This window comes from Homo sapiens, chromosome 4, assembly GCF_000001405.40.
Source record: "Homo sapiens chromosome 4, GRCh38.p14 Primary Assembly".
In the NCBI taxonomy this organism is placed as follows: Eukaryota; Metazoa; Chordata; class Mammalia; order Primates; family Hominidae; genus Homo; species Homo sapiens.
The window spans coordinates 23,380,757-23,395,873 of NC_000004.12; the positions used below are offsets into that span (position 1 = coordinate 23,380,757).

The following is a 15,117-nucleotide window of genomic DNA, read 5'->3' on the forward strand; positions in this document are numbered from 1 at the left end:
CCTTCCACCTTAGCCTCTCAAAGTACCAAAATTACAGGAGTGAGTCACCACACCCAGCCAGAAGTCCATTCCTAACCCAGTAAAAGAGTGTTGATTTTTATGTATTGATTAGCCTGCTAACCTTGATTAAGATAAACTATACATATTGTTTTATTTCTAAGAGATTATTTGTATTTTAATTTGTCCTGATTTATTTTTCTGCTTATTTTCTATCTCATTTTTTTCTGTTATTGACTGATTTTTGGTGGAATATTTCACTCTAAATTTTATTTTTCCCTTTAAAGTAATATGTGTGTACTCTTTCATGTTTAGCCCTTGAAATTTTTAACAATATAGATGATTTAAAATAACTCAGAATGTATCAACTCTAATCACTTCTTTCCGACATATGTTTTTGGCTAGTGTTTTCATATCACTTAGACTTATTCTTAAGCCACTGTCATTGGTCAGCATTTTTATTCTTTTCAACAACCAGGATTTGTTTTAATTTACACACATAATTGCCTTTTATTTCCATGATCCCCTTAAATGTCTGAATTTCCTTCTAAAAGTATTTTCATTTCTCCTAATGTACATCCTTTATTCTTAAGGGTAATCCATTCTCTAAGATTGTGTTTGTGTTTCTGAAATTTTTTTTTTGCCACCATTAAAAAAAAATCATACAGAGACTGAAACTAGGGTGGCTCTCATTACTTTGTTATCTAGAAGTTTAAGGTCACAATTTCACTGTGCTCTGACTTTTACCTTGAGAGTTCCAATGATCGTCTAATTTCATATTCTTTGTGGATGATTTGTTTATCTTTTCTGGATGTTTCAGAGATCTTAGGCTTGTCTTTAGTGTGTTGCAGTTTGAAAATAACAATAAAGTGTCTATATATGAATCTTTTTCTTTTTTAAGTCTTGGTTGAGATGTGTTTTTTCCCTGAAATGGAAGATCACTGGTTTTCATCACTTCAAGAACATTTTCAGCCATTATCTCTTTTCATTTGGGCCTTTGTCTCATTTCCTCCATATGCTGCTTCTGCAATTCTAAATTTTTTAAAATTTCTTTACTTTTCTATGCTGTGTTATTTATTCAGGCACATTTTCAAGTTATCTAATTGTTTATTAGGATTTGGCCAATCATATATAGTAAATTAATTTGCCCTGTGTGTTACAGATATTATTCCCCAGTCCTGTTTTCTTTTTTCTTCATTCATAGTAATTTTCATATAGGTGAATTTATTATTAATTTATTTCATGGTGTCAGTGGGTTTTTTTCTTTTAAAAGTGAATTACACAATTCAGGCTTATATAATAAATATTCTGCTATGTTTAAATGTTTATTTCATTTTATCCTTGTATATTCCAACTACATAGATTTCAATTTGGATTAAAGAAAGAATACTATAGAAAACTAGTTTTGTGTTTGTTTCTAAATGGCAAAAGCATTTTGAAAGTATAAATGTCTTTACTGGATTAGTGGACTGCAAGCTCCTTCAGGGAGGCCACTCCACCTCCTCATCATTAAACACACGGAACTAACTTCAGTGACTAACAATTAGAAGTTGCTCTACATATACTTTGAAGTTATTTTATAAACAAATTAGCAACCTTCAAAAATGTGCAAATTAATACATTATATTTAAATTTCTGACTTCAGAAATTTTATGTAAAAATGTAATACAGCCTAAACTATGTATAAATTATACATAAATACATATCTTTTATGTTAACGTATAGCAAATGTTTACATATTTATGTAACATTAAGAATTCTTTTATATTATTTTATTATTCTCTTTATAGTCTTACTAAATAGTATATTAAATTATAATTTTTATAAATGCATCCATTTTATTAAGTTCATTTACCATATTTAATTTAACTTATTATTTGATGTTGGCAATTTAGATAGTTTCTGATTATTTTCATTATAGTAGGTTATACTTCAGAAACGTATTTGTGTAGCTAGCAATGTGTATGTGCTGTGGCATGACTGATTGCACAGTAGGAACTTTGTACAAGGTGTATGTTCAAACCTAACTTCACTTCTACTTACTGGCAAATTACTTGACCACTCTGGGCTTCACTGGGCCAAGCTCACAGGGTTTTCACTGGGATTAAGTCGAAAAGAGTATGTGGACTTCACCCAGTGTAAACTCAACAAATGCCAATTGACTATACCCTCCCTAAGACTTTCTCTTTATAATAAAGATATATCAGTAGAATTATTTAGTCAAAGACTATGGGCAGCTAATGGCTATTGCTAAGTATGTAACTGATAGCCACTGCCTGAATGAATGACTCATGACTATTTAGTCTAGAGCAGTAGAGTAAACATGAGCATCACTTACATCACATAAACAGCACAACCTACAAAGAATGTCCCCCCAGTTTATAGATAAGGAAGTGAAGCACAGAGAGGTAAGTGGTTTTCTAAAACCACACAGCTGAAAAATGGCAGTCAAATGACAGACTTGTATCCAGGCTTTCTAACTCCAGTGATTGTGTACTATGATGCCTGAAACTTTTAAAATCATGTCCCTGATACTAATTACTTTCTATTTCATGACACATTTTAATAAAGTTTCTTAATTTAAAATTGCACAAGATTTAGGGCAGCCTTTATTTTCTTTAGTAGTCATTTTCCACTTAGTCATACAGTACTTCAGTGTTAGTGATTTCACAAATGTATATATATGCCTCCTCTGCTTATTTTAAGCTTCTTTAAGAGTTAGACTAACTTCACATACTTCTTTTTAATTCTCTATAATATCTCCATAGTGGCTAATTGGTAAATACTTATTGCTTGATGTTTAGACAGTCTAAATATTTCATTTCTCTGTGAAATATTCTTCTTATAATAAGCCAATAGAAAATTAAAGTTGTCATAAGAAAACAAATCTAAAGAGAAAAAGAAATGTGTCCAAAGGTCATGTTTGATGCATGCTAGATGTGTTCTAGACCAGTATCTTCAACAATTTTTTGTGAAAATAATCCTATTACAGTTTCCTGAAGATCTTTGAATAGAAGAGTATCAACACTAGAATCTTCCTAGCTAGTAATCTTGCCAGTCTTGCATGTGGGTGGGAAATAACCAACCAGCTTGAATGCAGGTAACAGTTTATAATCTAAGAGACTATCTCAAACTGCCTTGGAAACCTAGTCTAAAATTAGCACCATGCCAAACATGGTGGATGTTTGTATTATTGTTTCTGATTTGAGAGATGAAAACATAACTCCAAACTCAAGAGGCAGCAGGAAATATGGACAGAAATTCAAACCAATTTTGATGATTGCATTTGCCACCAACAAGCTGAATAAACTAAGCTGCTTTCCTGATACATGGAGCTTCAGTAAAAGGTACAGATAAATAACTCCCTTAACTTCACAGGGATGCTGTAAAGATTAATGTGATAATATATTATCATTGACCCTGTAATAGGCGCCTAGGAAATTATGTTCTTGCCATGATTAAAAGATTACTTATGAGGAGCACCTACTTTCTATTCCTTCTATAGCCATCTGGGTTTTGAGGGCATCCAATTATTACAAATATAAATTGAGATATGTTTAAAGATATAAAGTATAGATATTGTTTGTTCTTCAGATCAGTAATTATATATTATACTGCTGCTACTGTAACTAAACTATAAAATCATACTAATACATTTGTGTGAATTAACAAATAAAACATTAAGTAAATCAATTATTGTTATTTATTATATTGAACTTCAAAATAGACTAACTTTCCTTAAGATGCAGTTAGAAAAATTATCGGCAAGGCAAAAATTGCCTAATAAATTTTATTTTTACATATGGAGAAAATCTTTTCTCCATCAAATAGTCTTATTTCGTTCAATGAACTTGAAGAGTAAAACCATCACTTAAAAGTGAATTAAATGGTAGTCATAAAATTTTCTCCAAATCTGCCAAATAAATGACCACATGAAAAGAACTACAGGATACATTTATGAGTCAGTAAATTTAATACTGTCATTGAGAAAATATGGATATATAATGTTGATCTACTCCCAAAGCATATATTTTAGAAACTTTGTGGGTTAATTTCAGTGCCTGCTCCAAGAGGAGTTGCATTTATGCCCATAATGTATAACATAGTTATTATAAGTACTGAGAAATATTTTTTTCCCTGAAAGCCAATCTACTGAGTCATCTAGGCTGGTCTGAAGTACTCAGATCTGCATACTGTTTCCTTCCAGTTAGTGGAAGAGCAGCCAGACTCTCAATGCCATTCCCTCCAGCTCTGTCACTCACTCTGAAGTTGAGAGGGAAGATGAAGCCAGGCTGACTCCGGTCAGCAGTGCAATGGTGAGGTTCACCAACATCATTGTTCATCGCATCTTGACTGAGAGACACAGGGGAAAAAAAACAGATCCAAAGCCTTCCCATGCGACAAGCAAAGCAAGCAAAAACAATTTTAATGATGGAAAATATTTACTTCATTTTTTTTCTTTTTGCTTAATCAGATCTATTAACACAATTCAAAGATAAGAGACAATGAAGGGTTAAGACAAAAAACCCATCTGTTGGACCATGCAAGTTGCCACCTTTGATGGGCAGAAGCTCTGTGCATATCCTCAATTATTTTCAAGTGAATGACTAAGAGCATAATGGAGAGATATATGACTTTATTTACAAGGCAATGGGCACTTTCATCTGACGCTAGGGTACTATTACATGATATGCATATTCAACTCAATGGGATTTTATCATATGTATTTTGATGGGAAAGAAAGAGAAAAAGAAGGTAAAGGAAAGAAAAGAAGTAGAAAAGAAGACTTATCCATTAAATTGATACTGATATTCAGCTTGTACAGTCGTTCAGTGTGCAAATATTCCAGAACTAGAATAAATTGCACAAATTGGGAGCCCAGAATCTGCCTTCTGCCGGCATCTTGGTTGCCATATGCCTCAAAAAGCCTTAGCAGCTCATCCCGTTAAATGTGTTTAAAGACCTCATTTTTGGATCAACATAGCCTATGTGAAGAAGCCAACTCCTTTATCAGGGGTTCAGCTGAATATACAGTGATCAATTCCAATGCTGGAGGAAACACTGACTTTGCTCAATTTGGTGAGAGAAGGTCTCTTACATGGCACCCACCAAAGGGAGTTCCAAGGGTAATTTCAAAATATCCAATTTTCTTCTTGTTTATGCTCTGACTTTATAAACTAACCTTCATGTGAGGGGCACCTTCATTTTATTTCCAAGTGTTCTCAGTTAATACAGCCTTTTTGCAGAAGATGGTAGCCCAACAACAGCTCATAAATGAGAAAGAGCTGTGAAGGTAACAGATGCAAAGCTGTATGCAGAATAAGGCATGGAGCAAAAGGAAAAGGGTGCAAGAGAAAGAAAAAGCAAAACCAAAAAGTGGAAAGCATAAAAAGGGAAGCCAACAGTAAAAATGGGCACATGGATTGAATTTTGTAGGCCTTCCAGTACCCTTGACCCATGTAGAATTGTTCAAAATATACACTTTATTTGTGTCTGTGATTGTACTTTAATGTCTGAACTTGCCATACTCAAGTTGACCTGAGGTTTGAAATACTAGCCTTTCATTAATCTAATTGTACTCCCAATATTTAAATAATTGTTGAAGGAATTCATAAGTTCTCCCATGTTGAATCACTCTTTGACTAAAGGAATTCATTAGGTTTTTCTTTCTTTCGGCTTCTCTTAATGAAGTTATATTGGAAATAAAAGTTCATTTATGAATAGGAAGAGGTAGAAAAATTATGTGGAATTGGACAGCACATAAAGATAGAGATCAGAAAGTCTTATTTTTCAAAATTATTTTGAAGATTTTCATAATGTTTTATTCATTATAGTAATTTTTTTTATTTACCATACACTGGCCCACCTAAGCAACATCAACTGAGGACACAATGCTTGGCTGGATTCCCATGAGCGAACTTTTACTGGATAACAAATGCTTATTTTAAAGACTGATGCAACTCTTTATCCGTTAACCTAATGCAAATTGAAACGTTAGTAGGTATCCAGGAATAAGCTAGGTAGAGTCGAAACATATAAGAAAAATAAACAACACATTTTCTTTACCCTAAGAATATCCATTATTGTCTGGGGCAAACCAAGTGAAGATAGAAGAAACAGAAAATAGAAGATTACTATCACATTGCTGTATTATGCCTTTCTTGCGACGAGTGCTATCGGACTTCAGAAATGGGAGATTAACATGTAGGCTCCAAGGGCCAGAATCAACTTCATGAAAAAGGTGGAATTTTAATTGGGCATTGAATAACGGGTAGAATGCGACTAATCAGTGAAATGAATACAGGGGCTTTCCAGACTGAAGAAAATGTCTTAACAGAAAGCACAGAATGGTTATAGGCAGTGTTTGGAGAGAGTGGGAAATGGACAGCAGAGCTGGCAGACATGGGGAGGAGGTTCAGGTTTGAGGGTACCCAAAAGGAACTGTGAACAGTTTTATTTGTGGCAAGATACAACTTGCTGTGGCTATAGTTTCTTTTTATATCCAAATAAAATACCATGATCCAATCTCAGCTGTGAGAAAGCCTGCACCCTTCTCCATTTCCTGAGGGTTCCAGGGCAGGAGTGCTGATGTTCTCCTGCACCTACCTCTGCCATCCTCTCCATCTTACTTCTGCTTCTCCTTCCACATCTTTCCTTTTACAATACCTATTTACTTCTACATCTCCTGAACCTTCTAGGTACTACCTGGCTCTGTGCATAGACGCAGCCTGTCCCCTTCATTGCTGGAACCACCACTAATTCAAAGTGGTGCAGAATATAATATTCTATAAGGTACAGAATATTACATTCTAACTGAAGATTAGGGGAATTATACAGAGGTATTGGGGGGATATTACAGCAAAATGGCAAACAGCCTAGGATTGATAAATATGACTATTAAAATTTTTTAGCCATCTCTATCCCAAGACATTTTTTAGAAAGCCTTATTCTTGCTCAGAATCCAGCTGGCCACAATTTCCTGATGTCTCTGTGTGTCTGTGAGTGTGAGTGTTTGTATATAATGTGTTTGTCTCAATTTCCATATTCTCCTATTTCTAGAATACACCACTACTTCTACCCCTAAAACCAGCAAGGCTCAAAGGCAAACTTCTTGACACTTGATACTTCAGAGTAATTTTGTTCTTCTGTCTCCACTTCCACCCTGGACCAGTCTTGGGGACCTAATTTTGAATAATCTAAAAATTTCATCAGTGTGTTTTCCTAAACAAAAGAGCATCTACTCCAGAGATGAATTCTGCTATTCTCCTATAATGCAGAAAACAGCTGCAGCCATTTCTATATTTTAGTGATTTCTTTTTCTTGCCTGTTACATATTATTTAAGCTTGATTAGCTAAGCAAATCACTCAGGTTCAGGAGCAAGGAAGAGGCATAACAAAGAAAATTTTTTTAGGACGGCAAAGCTCATATGAAGAAGGCTCTGGACAGTGCTTGGTTAATACTTGGGGAAAAAACAAAACGACCTTCCCTTTGTTTTGTTTTGTTTTTTTGTCTTTCGCCATATTCAACAAAATAAACTCTAGCAAATAAAAAGAAAATCACTATATGAAAGCAAGGCGATAGCACTGAAAGTGCGGAGTGGGAAAAACTGGCTACGTAGATAGCATAGTTCTATTATTTTCACAAAATATTTTGCCCTTCACTGGTGACCCTTTGCATCTGTTGCATGTGGTGCTGAGCCAGGGACATTACGAGAGTCAATGGGGATAAAGTAACAGACTCCAGTTCCCTAATGGGAGAGAAGCCCTCATTTATGCTGTTGTAAGTGTGCATTCTGAAGACTTACAAAACCATTTAGATTTTTTGAAGCTTTTAGATTTCCCTGAAAATCACCAAACCGCCATCTTAATTTGTGCAATTAGTCTGTGTTTAGGAAGTGTGTTGACAGCAGTCTTTTTGAAAAGGGAGGTATGTGTGAGTAAATAGTTCAATTTGTCCTTTACAGGTCCTGGGAAGAACATTCAACTGTGAGGCTCGTTTGACAGAAGCTGTATTTAGGGTGTTTTCCCTGAATGCAGCTGCAAGATTAGAACCTGGATAAAAACCCAGGAGTATAAAATGTTCAACTGCCAGCAGGCACCATACCTAGGCAGGGTCAAGGCCCCAGACAAATGACACTGTGCCAGGTCCATCTGCCCCTCTCTTAGTCACTTGGATAAAATCTAGGTAAGATGAACTTTGCTGGCAGCCTTGATCAATGAAACTGGAGCACAAATATCACAATCTGTTATCAGTAGATAGAAGTGGTTTTGGGTCCAAGCCAATCTCCAAGGGGAGGACCTGAGATTCACAGGCTGGTGGTAATTTTTATGTCAGTGACCAGGTAGTTATGCCCTTTCCTTTTTCCCAAAGCTCTGAATCACAGAATCCACTAAGGGGCAGCTCTGTGGTCAAGAATGAACTTGGCACAAAACTTCGGCCACCTGTTATTCTCAAGGCACAGCCAAGGAGGCAAGATGTGGGCAAAGACTAGATGTCCCTTGCCATAATAAGACCTTTTCCTGCAGGCAGCCCTTGACTTTCCTCAACAGTGAGACTACAGCCAGCCTGCTTTGTCCATTTGTTAAAGCAAAGTATGAATTGCTACTCTTTATTGTCCTGAAAAGTCACTCTCTTTGGTAATGCCTATGTGTATCAGGTGCTTGGCTATGATTGAACAGCTTTTTCTGTAGAGAAGGAAGCACCACCTTGTATTCCCACTAAATGTCTTGGTCTGCCTCTGGTGCACACTATCCCATGATGGATGCATGTATAAATTCAAACTGCATGTCTTTTATGAGTTGCATGCTGTTTCTCCAGCCTTTTTTTTTTTATATAGCATCCTCCTGCTTGCAATGAAACAAGCGTATTGGGTTTTATATGGTTATTAAATTTCACATAAGACAAACTATACAAAGGCTTTTTATGTAGCTGTAGACCTCTTCACAATACCTTTTTTTTTTTCCTCTCACCACTGCCACACCCCCTAACTCCCCATTCTATTTTCTTCTTTTTTCCTCTGGTCTTGAAACTTCTTATTCAAAATATTCTGGAGACTTCCATTTTTCTTTTTCTGCCTGTTTCTTGCTTGCTTTTATGAATTCAATGTATGGGAATCATTCTTTTTAACTATGGAGGAGCACATGAATGAAGGTCTATAATGACAACATCTGTCTTTCCTAAACAGATGTTGGGATAATCCCTGATTGCACACTTAGTATTTAGGTCAGTATAACCCAACATTCACCCTGAGAGTGAGGGTCCTCTGGTGTTCCTAGGGCAAAGGCAGATATTTGATTATCTCAACTATACGTTATTCTTGATGGTAAACCTCATTTTTGAACACAAAGGTGCTAATCTACCATCTACTGTACAACAATATTTAGTTGTATGTATTATACTATAAATTAGGTAGCACACAAAGCCAGTGTCCACATTATGACATTTGTTTACAAAATAATATGCATAGATAGGTCCTATATTATCTTGAGGTATATTTCTTTATGCAATAAGTCCAGATAAACATTCCACTACATTACATGCTATCCTAATTCACAGTAGTCAAATATTCCCAAAGGCTTTTGGGGGTTTAAGTTAATCCATGGTTAATCATGACCTTCACATGAAAACTTGGCTCTAGTATTATTTCCCAAAGAAAACTACAATATACCAGCCATACTTTGCCAACACCAGAATGCTTACGACATGATGAACAAGTTGCACATATACCCTTACGAACAAGTCAAAGAGTTGTAATTCAGATGGCAGGCTGGGAATGTATTATTCTGAAGAATGTAATTCAAGATGCCTGGGAAATATGAAGCACGGGTCATCCCAAACTACACACTCAGGAAAAACAGCCTTTAGAGGGAAGCAATGCTTGAGCAGAAACCTGTATGAAAGGAGGGCACCAGACATGGAAATACCTAGGGAAGAGGACAAGAGGCATAAGGAACAGCAAACACAAAGTACCTTATATGAGAATGAGTGTGGAAACAGGAAGGAGGACCATGTGGCTAGAGCGGAGTCCGCTGGGGAGAAGGTGGAAGGAAATGAGGTCAGGAAAGTAGCCAAAGGCAAGATCAGGGTCTTGTAGACCTTTAAAAAACATCTTGAATCTTACTCTAAATGTGGAAAGCACAAGTAAATGAGAGCAAAGGAATGATAAATAAAGACCAAGATAATACAATAATTATGTTACAATGTAATGAGTAAGAGCTATTTAAAAATATAATCCCAGAAAAGAAAATGCCTAATATTTCTTAGGAAACCAAGGCAAGTAAAACTGGCTTTGATCTTGAAGTACTTGGCTGAGAAAGGGGAAAATGTGTTTCAGACTGAGGCAACAGTTATGTGCAGAGACAACAATACACATAAAAGTAGAGGAGGAAAAATTGCCGTAATATATTCAGACAACCCTTGAAATAGTCAATCTGGTTGGAGAATGGGAGGAAGTGGCATAAGGTAAGGTTAGTATCAGATCTTCAGTGTCCCTGTATGTCTCCCTAAGGAATCTGGACCTCAGGCAGCAGGCTAGGGAAACACTGAAATATTTTAAGCAAGGAAGTTATGCAGCATGATCATAGTTTTATTTTGGAATAATAAATCTGTCTGTAGTGTGAAGAATTAATTGAAGCACAGGGGACTATCTGAGGTCAGGACTACCAGCTGGATAACTTGAAATCTATTTGAGTAAGAAGAAATGAACTAGGGCAATGACAGTAAAGATAAATATATTGGAGGGTTATTTGGAAGGTATGGCCTCACAACTAGATGTGAGTGGTAAAACTGAAGGCTGTCAAGCATAATTTCTTGGCTCATGGTTTGAGGAATTGAGTCTATGGTGATATCATTACCCAATATAGAATGGAGGATCAGGTTTGAGCCTAGAGGTATTTTCAGATTTAATAAAAAATGTAATCTGTGAAATAGAGGAGATACTCAATGGAACAAAGACCTAGGGAAGGTAAGAGAAAACACAAATAAGAGCATAGGTCTAACAGCTTTGGCAAAGGATGAGGGACAGCTTATTAAGTAGAAAAATATGTAGTGGTTGATGAAAACCTGGGTAAATTCAGAAATGGAAGGGGAAAAAATGTTAAGGGAGTTCAGTCTGAATTACCCCTTTCTCTATGTGTGTGTATTTGGATGCATACACATATAAATATGTATGGTATGTGCATGTGTGTACATATGTATACATTATTAAGTGTAGATTATGTATACGTCAATATAATTATATAGACACACTAAGAGAAAAGGCTTTGTAGAAGATAAGTTAGATAAAACAGTTTCAAAAGGATGGATGACTTTGCACAGAACAAAAATAAAAAATGATGCTGAAATTTCAAGCCTAGATGGTTAAGTATGGTATCATCCTTTGAAGAAGCTGAGGAAACAATTTGGGTACCAGCTTATTGGTAGGAGAGGGTAAATTATTAATTTAATTTCAGACATGTTGAATTTGAGATGATGGTAAGTATTCAAAATATATATGTTCACTAAAAAATTGAAATTGCACTATTGGAGCATAAATGGGTAGTCTGAGCAAAGTGGATAAATTTGCAAAAAAGGTAATGGTTGAAGCTGTAAAGTTATATGGGTTATCAGAAGCAAAAAGAGAAAATGGTGAAGGAGAAACCCTTGGACAATTATCTCCCTTTAACAATTGCCTTCCTAGTCAGTGAGATGAAAAAGTCAAGAAGTTGGATATAACTTCTCCGGTGACTCCAAAGTCATTCGTCACCTCAGAGTCCTGAACTGGCTCTATGCTGGTTAATTACTTAAGGAAAAGTCTTCCTGAAGAAATCACTTAAGGAGGCAGGTGTCTTACACCAAATTAATTCCATACTGAGAATTGATGAAAACAGGATGGGGAATGCTTACTCACAGGAGAGTGTGTTAAGAATATCAGTAGGAGGGTCTATGCAGAACAACAAAAATAGGAAATGGAGAATAAGGCCATAAACATTGTAAATTGCTGAATTTTTCAAAAGGACAACAAAATACAAAAATGGCATTCTGTGGCAGAAGATACGTTATGTAAACATGAATGTTCACCTCCATCACGGACAGGGTAAATTAGCCATGCTAAAATGAATCATTTACACAGAGATTTCTCCAATATGAAGTTAAGTTTACAGATTGTAGATTCCAGAAAAAGACAACTAACCCATATTCCAGTAATGGTGACAACCACATTTTCTCCATTCATCGTCCTTACCCCAATGCCACCAAGTATCTGCCACGGTCTCCGGAAACACTGATCTGGCTTCTTGGAACATGAACTTGTCTGGGATAACTGCCCTTGCGAAAGAGGATTGGCTCATTCTCCAATTGGATGACTGCAGGGCCAGGACTGTGAAAATCTCATGTGTCCCATTAATTCTCTGAAATCTTTAAAAGGTTAGAAACATCAGAGTCTTGGAAATAAGTTAACATGCGACTGAAGAAAGTATACAGAACTTTTTGAAAGACAGTCCAGGTTACAGCTGCTGATGAAACCCCAATGCCATCAGTCACCAAAAATATCTCTGGCAGAGGCTGTGCAGAATATGAAACTGTGGAAAGCTAGATTCTTTTAAGCATACAGATAAAAATAATTAAAGTTTGGACTTTATTATTTCTGATCTTTAACTTGCAAAGTGTTATATCTATAGCTTTATTTCTCTTCATAAATTTATTAGTAGGATAGTTTATATTCAGATGGAAACATTTCTGTGTTTTACATGTTGTACTACTGGATTGTCCTTGTATACTTTACTATTGAAGTATCTTAATGCTGTCACTTCATCTGATAAATAAATTTCCTGCAAGCTCCATTGACAGTGTGGCTGGCCAAAATTTGGAGTGAAAAATATAACAGGAAGGGCGGTGTCAACTTTGGTTAAAAAGGCTGACCTTGAAGTTGATTATATGATGTACATTCCCAAACCATTTCATAACTTTATGAGGTGAGTATAAGTCACAAAGTTGGTCCAAGGATAAAACCTGAAAATATTCAGGTTGCCATTGAAGGAGTAGCCTCATAAGGATAAAAGCAGTGTAATCTTATCTTGGTAGAGGCCAAAAACCTCTCATGTAGCAGATAACAGATAACCACATTTTTATTGCATAGGCTTAGTAGGTAAACTCAATGGGCTAAGAGGACAAAAATTTGAAGAGTTTTAGGAAAGAGACCATCTTGTTCACTTTTCGACTCCTGATTCCTATAAAAAGAGATGTCTATGTGTCTAATTTTATGCCACTACCATCCTGCCATGCTGTTTTGGTTACTATAGCTCTGTAGTATAATCTGAAGTAAGATAATGTGATTCCTCTGGTTTGGTTCTTTTTGCTCAGAATAGCTTTGACTATTCTGGGCCTTTTGTGGTTCCATATAAATTTTAGAACTGTTTTTTCTATTTCTGTGAAGACTGTCATCGGTATTTTGATAGAGATTGCATTGAATATGTAGATCATTTTGGGTAGTATGGACATTTTAATATTGATTCTTCAAATCCAAGAGAATGAAATATCTTTCCATATTTTTGTCCTCTTGAATTACTCTCCTCAGTGTTTTATAGTTTTTACTGTAGAGATCTTTCACTTCTTTGGTTAAGTTACTTCATATGAATTTAATTTTATTTTAAGCTACTGTAAATGGGATTGCATTTTAGTTTCTTTTTCACATTTTTAATATTTGCTGTTGGCATATAGAAATGCTACTGATTTTTGTACGTTGATTTTGTATCCTGCCACTTTACTGAATTTATTAGTGCAAATAGTATTTCTTGTTGTAATCTTTTGTTTTTCCCAAATATAAGATATTATCTGCAAAGAAGGATAATTTTACATTCTCCTTTCTGATTTGGATGCCCATTATTTCTTTGTCTTGTCTGATTGATCTAGCTAGAGCTTTCAGTACTATGTTGAATAACAGTGGTGATAGTGGACATCTTTGTCATGTTCCAGATCTTAGAAGAAAGACTTTCAGTTTTTCCCTATTTAGTATGACACTAAATGTGGGTCTGTTGTACATGAATTTTATTATGTTGAGGTATGTTCCTTCAACACAAGTTTTTTGAGGGTTTTTATTATGAAGGGGTGTTAAATTTTTCTTCTCTGATTTTCAGAATCAGTTGAAATACTCATATGATTCATGGCCTTCATTCTGCTGACATGATGTATCACATTGATTAATTTGCATATGTTGAAGCATCTTTGAATTTCTGGAATAAATATAACTTGGTCATGACAAATGATCATTTTAGTGTATTGTCGAATTTTGTTGAGGATTTTTGCATCTATGTTCATCAGGGATTGCCTGTAGTATTCTTTTCTTTTTTGTTATGTGTCTTTGTCTGGTTTTGGTATCCGGGTAATGCTGATGTAATAGAATGAATTTGAGTTGGATTGGTATTATTTATTCTTAAAATGTTTGGTAAATTTTAGCAGTAAAGCCACCAAGTCCCAGGTTTTTCTTTGCTAGGAGACTTTTTATTATGGCTTCAATCTCATTGCTTGTTATTTGTCTGTTCAGTTTTTAAATTTCATTATGGCTCAATTTTGGTGGTTTGTATGTGTCTAGGAATTTATCCTTCTAGGTTTTCCAATTTATTGGCAAATACTTGCTTATAGTTACCTCTAATGATCCTTTGAATTTCTGCAGTATCAGTTTTAATGTCTCATTTTCCATCTCTGATTTTATTTGAGTCTTCTGTCTTTTTTCTTAGTTCGGTTAAAAGTTTGTCAATTTTATTTATCTTTTCAAAAACCAACTTTTCATTTCATCAATCATTTGTATTGTTTTCTTCATTTCAATTTAATTTGTTTCTGCTCTGATCTCTATTATTTCTTTTCTTTTACTGATCTTTGGTTTGGTTTGCCCTTTATTTTCTAGGTTTTTTTGTTGTTGTTTTTTGTTTTTTGTTTTTTTGAGACAGAGTATGGCTCTGTTGCAAATCTGGAGTGCTGTGGTGCAATCTCGGCTCACTGCAACCTAGGACTCCCTGGTTCAAGTGATTCACCTGCCTCAGCCTCCCAAGTAGCTGGTAGTACAGGCGCACACCACCACACCCAGCTAATTTTTTTTGTATTTTTTAATAGAGACGAGGTTTCACCATGTTGGCCAGGCTGGTCTT

The 15,117-nt window shown here is 35.4% G+C and overlaps 2 long non-coding RNA genes across 4 annotated transcripts in view; one reads left to right on the forward strand and one right to left on the reverse strand.

Annotated features, from left to right (window-relative positions):
• The window catches only part of LOC105374524 (uncharacterized), a 507,306-nt gene that overhangs the window by 383,225 nt on the left and 108,964 nt on the right, over window positions 1-15,117 (forward strand). The gene's annotated exons all lie outside the window — the stretch shown is intronic.
• LOC105374523 (uncharacterized) overlaps window positions 1-15,117 on the reverse strand; it is a 97,876-nt gene that overhangs the window by 78,224 nt on the left and 4,535 nt on the right. For 2 of the 3 annotated variants that reach the window (XR_925460.2, XR_001741614.1), the window contains exon 1: window positions 12,219-12,444. This is a non-coding gene — a long non-coding RNA (uncharacterized LOC105374523). Of the gene's footprint in view, window positions 1-12,218; window positions 12,445-15,117 lie in introns of those variants that run through there. The other variant, XR_925461.2, reaches the window with a different exon arrangement.